The 7,261-nt window shown below is 37.5% G+C and overlaps 1 annotated feature.

The window, feature by feature from the left end:
- Positions 1,707-2,207: an enhancer, noted in NCBI's record as "H3K4me1 hESC enhancer chrX:141478562-141479062 (GRCh37/hg19 assembly coordinates)". NCBI's record gives its function as "activates a minimal SCP1, AML or CMV promoter by ChIP-STARR-seq in primed H9 embryonic stem cells {active_cell/tissue: H9 hESC(primed)}" and the evidence as "EXISTENCE:reporter gene assay evidence [ECO:0000049][PMID:30033119]".

Here is a 7,261-nt window from a genome sequence, read left to right on the forward strand (position 1 = left end):
CTGTTGATTTGGGGTAGAGAGTTCTGTAGATGTCTATTAGGTTCCCTTGGTGCAGAGCTCAGTTCGATTCCTGGATATCCTTGTTGACTTTCTGTCTCGTTGATCTGTCTAATGTTGACAGTGGGGTGTTAAAGTCTCCCATTATTATTGTGTGGGAGTCTAAGTCTCTTTGTAGGTCACTCAGGACTTGCTTTATGAATCTGGGTGCTCCTGTATTGGGTGCATATATATTTAGGATAGTTAGCTCTTCTTGTTGAATTGATCCCTTTACCATTACGTAATGGCCTTCTTTGTCTCTTTTGATCTTTGTTGGTTTAAAGTCTGTTTTATCAGAGACTAGGATTGCAACCCCTGCCTTTTTTTGTTTTCCATTTGCTTGGTAGATCTTCCTCCATCCTTTTATTTTGAGCCTATGTGTGTCTCTGCACGTGAGATGGGTTTCCTGAATACAGCACACTGATGGGTCTTGACTCTTTATCCAATTTGCCAGTCTGTGTCTTTTAATTGGAGTATTTAGCCCATTTACATTTAAAGTTAATATTGTTATGTGCGAATTTGATCCTGTCATTATGATGTTAGCTGGTGATTTTGCTCATTAGTTGATGCAGTTTCTTCCTAGTCTCGATGGTCTTTACATTTTGGCATGATTTTGCAGCGGCTGGTACTGGTTGTGCCTTTCCATGTTTAGCGCTTCCTTCAGGAGCTCTTTTAGGGCAGGCCTGGTGGTGACAAAATCTCTCAGCATTTGCTTGTCTGTAAAGTATTTTATTTCTCCTTCACTTATGAAGCTTAGTTTGGCTGGATATGAAATTCTAGGTTGAAAATTCTTTTCTTTAAGAATGTTGAATATTGGCCCCCACTCTCTTCTGGCTTGTAGAGTTTCTGCCGAGAGATCCGCTGTTAGTCTGATGGGCTTCCCTTTGAGGGTAACCCGACCTTTCTCTCTGGCTGCCCTTAACTTTTTTTCCTTCATTTCAACTTTGGTGAATCTGACAATTATGTGTCTTGGAGTTGCTCTTCTCGAGGAGTATCTTTGTGGCGTTCTCTGTATTTCCTGAATCTGAACGTTGGCCTGCCTTGCTAGATTGGGGAAGTTCTCCTGGATAATATCCTGCAGAGTGTTTTCCAACTTGGTTCCATTCTCCCCGTCACTTTCAGGTACACCAATCAGACGTAGATTTGGTCTTTCAACAGAGTCCCATATTTCTTGGAGGCTTTGCTCGTTTCTTTTTATTCTTTTTTCTCTAAACTTCCCTTCTCGCTTCATTTCATTCATTTCATCTTCCATTGCTGATACCCTTTCTTCCAGTTGATCGCATCGGCTCCTGAGGCTTCTGCATTGTTCACGTAGTTCTCGAGCCTTGGTTTTCAGCTCCATCAGCTCCTTTCAGCACTTCTCTGTATTGGTTATTCTAGTTATACATTCTTCTAAATTTTTTTCAAAGTCTTCAACTTCTTTGCCTTTGGTTTGAATGTCCTCCTGTAGCTCGGAGTAATTTGATCGTCTGAAGCCTTCTTCTCTCAGCTCGTCAAAGTCATTCTCTGCCCAGCTTTGTTCCGTTGCTGGTGAGGAACTGTGTTCCTTTGGAGGAGGAGAGGTGCTCTGCTTTTTAGAGTTTCCAGTTTTTCTGTTCTGTTTTTTCCCCATCTTTGTGGTTTTATCTACTTTTGGTCTTTGATGATGGTGATGTACAGATGGGTTTTTGGTGTGGATGTCCTTTCTGTTTGTCAGTTTTCCTTCTAACAGACAGGACACTCAGCTGCAGGTCTGTTGGAGTACCCGGCCGTGTGAGGTGTCAGTCTGCCCCTGCTGGGGGGTGCCTCCCAGTTAGGCTGCTCGGGGGTCAGGGGTCAGGGACCCACTTGAGGAGGCAGTCTGCCCGTTCTCAGATCTCCAGCTGCGTGCTGGGAGAACCACTGCTCTCTTCAAAGCTGTCAGACAGGGACATTTAAGTCTGCAGAGGTTACTGCTGTCTTTTTGTTTGTCTGTGCCCTGCCCCCAGAGGTGGAGCCTACAGAGGCAGGCAGGCCTCCTTGAGCTGTGGTGGGCTCCACCCAGTTCTAGCTTCCTGGCCCCTTTGTTTACCTAATCAAGCCTGGGATTGGCGGGCGCCCCTCCCCCAGCCTCGCTGCTGCCTTGCAGTTTGATCTCAGACTGCTGTGCTAGCAATCAGCGAGACTCCGTGGGCGTAGGACCCTCTGAGCCAGGTGCCGGATATATTCTCCTGGTGCGCCGTTTTTTAAGCCCGTCGGAAAAGCGCAGTATTCGTGTGGGAGTGACCCGATTTTCCAGGTGCCGTCAGTCACCCCTTTCTTTGACTAGGAAAGGGAACTCCCTGCCCCCTTGCGCTTCCCGAGTGAGGCAATGCCTCGCCCTGCTTCGGCTCGCGTACGGTGCGCGCACCCACTGACCTGCACCCACTGTCTGGCACTCCCTAGTAAGATGAACCCGGTACCTCAGATGGGAATGCAGGAATCACCTGTCTTCTGCGTCACTCACGCTGGGAGCTGTAGACCGGAGCTGTTCCTATTCGGCCATCTTGGCTTCTCCTCTGAAACTCTTCGCATGTGAGCTCTTTTCACATAATTACCTGATTTGGATATAAAGTTACATAATTAAATGACATCTAAAAGACCAAGAATTAGGAGGGTATGAAAACGTGCATTAATCATGAGGAAATGGCTAAAAAGAGCATCTTAAATCTTCAGTGGTCATTCACTTAAATAATAGTGGACCATTTCCCATCTGTCATATTCTATGAAGATTTGCTCTGCCGTTTGCTCAGATGGGTTGTCCGTGAAGTGCAGTTAGCATTGTAGTGTGAAATGTCAACCGTTCTGCCATGACAGAATGAATCTAGGCAGCAAACATCTGATACCGTGAGATCCTTATGGCTGTTGAAGAATAAATGTGGCAACAATTATGTCCAGGAGGCATAATCAGTGCTTACAACGGCCAAAACAGGATTTTGAGAATATCCATTTAAAAGTCTTGTCAATTACTTTTAATGACAATAGTATAGCAACTAATTGACTTCATCAAGTGGCTACCTCTGCCAAATTGATAGTTTAATTAATGCTAGTCACATCAGATTTTTCCTTCAAGATACACACATATATACACATAAACACACATATTCTGTAAATATATATGTATATATCTATCTATATGTATTTCTTTATGAGTTGAGTTCCATTTAATTACACATTAAAATTTACTTCCAGCTTTGTGACAAGAGATGCTATTTCCTATTTCTTAGGAATGTGCTTTAATTCCATTTTGTGGGATTTTTGGAATAATGGACTGTATAAATCTGTTTGGTTTCGCCATAGCTAACACTTGCTGAGATCCTACACTTTCCAGTTATTATATTAGGCATTGTAACCCAATGAACATGCAATCCTTTTGCCCTATGATGTAGGGTTATATCATCCTGCTCTTGGGTTTTACATGGACTTCCCAGCAGCCCATTGGAATTTATAACCTTGTTTCCAGGCTGAGATTGGTTTTCAGTTTGAAGTAATCTTATTTATCTATTTCTGTCTTTGTTGCTTGTGCTTCTGAGGTCATATACAAAAAAAAAAAAAAATCCAGACAAATATCAAAGAGTTATTTTTCTGTTTTCTTCCAGGAGTTTTGTGGGTTCAAATCTCATATTTAAGACTTAAAACTATTTTAATTTTTATGAATGGTATAAGATAGGGGTCAAATTTTATTCTTTGGAAGGTGGAGATCCAGTTTTTCCAACACCATTTATTTAAGAGAATATTCTTTTCCCATTGTTTGTTCTTGGTGCCACTGTCAAATATTAGTTATTCGAATATAAATGAGATAATGTCCTGGCTGTCTATTTTGTTCCATTGCTCTATGTGTTTGTTTTCATGCTAGTAACACACTACTGTGATTACTATAGCTTTGTAATAGACTTTGCAATCAGGAAGAATGAAGTCTCCTGCTCTGTACTTTCTTAAGATTGATTTGGCTTTTGAGGATGTTTTGTGATAAAATAATTTTAATATTGCTTGTTTTTTTTCATGAAAAATGCCACTGGATTTTTGATAAGGATTACATTAAATTTATAGATGACAATGGATAGTGTGGATATTTTAACAGTATTAATTCTTCCAGTTCATGCACACAGGATATCTTTCCATTCATTTGTGGCTTCTTCAATTTCTTTCATCAGTGTTTTATAGTTTTTTGTGTAGAGATCTTTTGCCTTCTTGGAATATATATATAATATTTATTATAATTATGTATAATTGTATAATTTATATATTATAATTATATATAATATATTATGTAATATATTATATAATATATTATATAATATATTATATAATATATTACATAATATATTACATAATATATCATATAATTATATATTCTATATTATATAATATATATAATTATATATAATATATATTCCTAAGTATTTTATTTTTTGTAGCTGTTGTAAATGATATTGCTTTCTTGATTTCTTTTTATATAGTTTGCTATTAGTGATAGATAGGCTAGTAATTTTTGTATGTTAATTTTTTTGTCCTGCAACTTTACTGAATTCATTTATTAGTTGAAGTAATTTTTTCCGTGTAGTCTTTAGAGTTTACCATATAAAAGATTATGTATTCTGCAATCAGAGACAATTTGCATTCTCCTTTCTGATTTATATGTTCCTTTTATTATCTTTCCTAATTGCTCTAGCTGGGACTTCTAGTACTATGTAAAATAGATGTGAGAGTGGGCATCCTTGTTTTGTTCTTGATCTTAGAGGAAAAGCTTCAGCTTCTCACTGTTGAACATGATTTTAGCAGTTAACTTGTCATATATGGCCTTTTTCCTGTTGAGGTAAATTTGTTCTATATCTACTCGTTGACAGATTTTATCATGAAGGGCTATTGTATTTTGTCAAATAGCATTTCTGCATGTATTCCAATGATCACATGGTTTTGTCCTTCAGTTATTTTGTTCTTCATTCTGTTAATGTGGTGTACCACATTTATAGATTTGTGTATGTTGGACTATTGTGGTATTCTGGAGATAAATCCCACTTCATCAAGGTGAATGATCCTTTTGACGTGTTTTTGAATTTGGTTTTATAGCATTTTGTGGAGAATTTTTGCATCTATGTTCATCAGGGATATTGTCTTGTAATATTATTTTCTTATAGTATTCTTGTCTGACTTTGATATCAGGGAAATGTTGGCCTTGTAAAGTGAGTTTTGAAGTTGTCCCTATTCTTTAATTTTTTTATTATACTTTAAGTTCTAGAGTATATGTGCACAACGTGCAGGTTTGTTACATATGTATACATTGGCCATGTTGGTTTGCTGCACCCATTAATTCGTTATTTACATTATGTATTTCCGCTAATGCTGTCCCTCCCCCATCCCCCAACGTAAGAAGGATTGGTATCTGTTTTTTCAGCATTTGGTAGAAATCAGCAGGGGAGCCATCAGGTAGGTCCTGGGCTTTTATGTGATGGGAAACTATTACTAATTCAATCTTTTTACTTGTTATTGGTCTGTACAGATTTTCTACTTCCTCTTGATTTAGTCTTGGTAGGTTTTATGTGTCTAGGAATTTACCCATTTCTTCTAAATTATACAATTTATTGTCACATAAGTTTTCATAATAGTCAATTATGAAATTTTGTATTGATGTGGTATTAGTTGCAATGTCTCCTCTTGCATTTTTTTTTAACTTTATTTGAGACTTTTCACTCTTTATCTTAGTCTGGCCACAGGTTTGTTGATTTTTTTGTACTTTTTCAAAAAAGAACTTTCAGATTCATTGATCTTTCCTATTTTTTTCTATTCTCTTTGACTGATTTTTGCTCTGATCTTTCCTCTTTTTTTTCCCCGTGGATGCTGTGCTTAGCTTGTTCTTTTTTTAGTTCCTTGGGTTTTATCATTAGGTTATTTGGAATCTTTTTTCTGTCTTGATGTAGGTGTTTATTGCAATAAACATCTCTCTTAGAACTGACTTTTCTGCATTGAATACATTTTGGTATGTTGTGTGTCTATTTTCGTTTGTCTCAAGCTATTTTTACATTTCCCTTTTATTTTCTTCTTTGACCCTTTGGTTGTTCAGGAGCATGCTGTTTAAGTTTTATATATTTTCATATTTTCCAAAATTTCTCTGTTATTGATTTTTAGTTTCATAACGTTGTGGTTAGGAAAGGTACTTGAAATGACTTCAATGTTTCTAAATTTGTTCAGACTTATTTTGTGGCCTAATAAATGATCTATTCTGGGGAATGTTATGTGTGCCATTGAGAAAAATGTGAATTCTGTTGCCAGAATGAATGTTGTGTTCGGTCCATCTGGTCTAAAGTGTAGTTCAATGTTTTCGTATTTATTTTCTGTCTGGATGATTTGTCCATTGCTTCAAGTGGGGTGTCAAACTACCCTACTTTATTGCATTATAATCTGTCTCTTCCTTGACATCTGTTAATATTTGCTTAATATATGTAAGTGCTCTGATCTTGGATGTGTATATGTTTACAACTGTTATAGATATCATCTTTATGAATTGAAATCTTTCTAATATAAAATGACCTTTTAAAGTTTTTAAAGCCTATTTTATTTCATATATGTATAGCTTCATTTCTTCTCTTTGGTTTTCATTTGCATGGATATATTTTCTGTACTTTCACTTGTAATCTACTCATGGTCTTAAGTATGAGTTGAGTTTCTTGTGGGAGCGTATAGTTGGGTCTTTCTTTTTCATTTATTTATTTGTTTATTTATTTATTTTTGAGACGGAGTCTCGCTGTGTCACTCAGGCTAGAGTGCAGTGGCACAATCTTGGCTCACTGCAGCCTCCGCCTCCCAGGCTCAAGTAATTCTCCTGCCTCGGCCTCCCGAGTAGCTGAGATTACAGGTGTGTGGCATCATGCCTGGCTAAGTTTTGTAATTTTAGTAGAGATGGGGTTTCGCCATTTGGCCAGGCGGGTCTCAAACTCCTGACCTCAAATGATCTGCCTGCCTCAGCCTCCCAAAGTGCTGGGATTAGAGGCATGAGTCACTGCACCGGGCCGGGGCTTTCTTTTTAATTTATTCAGATACTTTGTGTCTTTCGATTAAATAAATTGATCAATTAACATACAAAATAATTATTGTTAGGTAATGACCTAATACTGCCATTTTGTTCATTGCTTTCTTATTGTTTGGTAGATCCTCTGCTCCTTTTGCTTTTTTCTATTGAGATTAAATGATTTTTCTCTAGTGGATTTGTTTGATTTCTTACTTTTTCTCT

This window comes from Homo sapiens, chromosome X, assembly GCF_000001405.40.
Source record: "Homo sapiens chromosome X, GRCh38.p14 Primary Assembly".
In the NCBI taxonomy this organism is placed as follows: domain Eukaryota; kingdom Metazoa; phylum Chordata; class Mammalia; order Primates; family Hominidae; genus Homo; species Homo sapiens.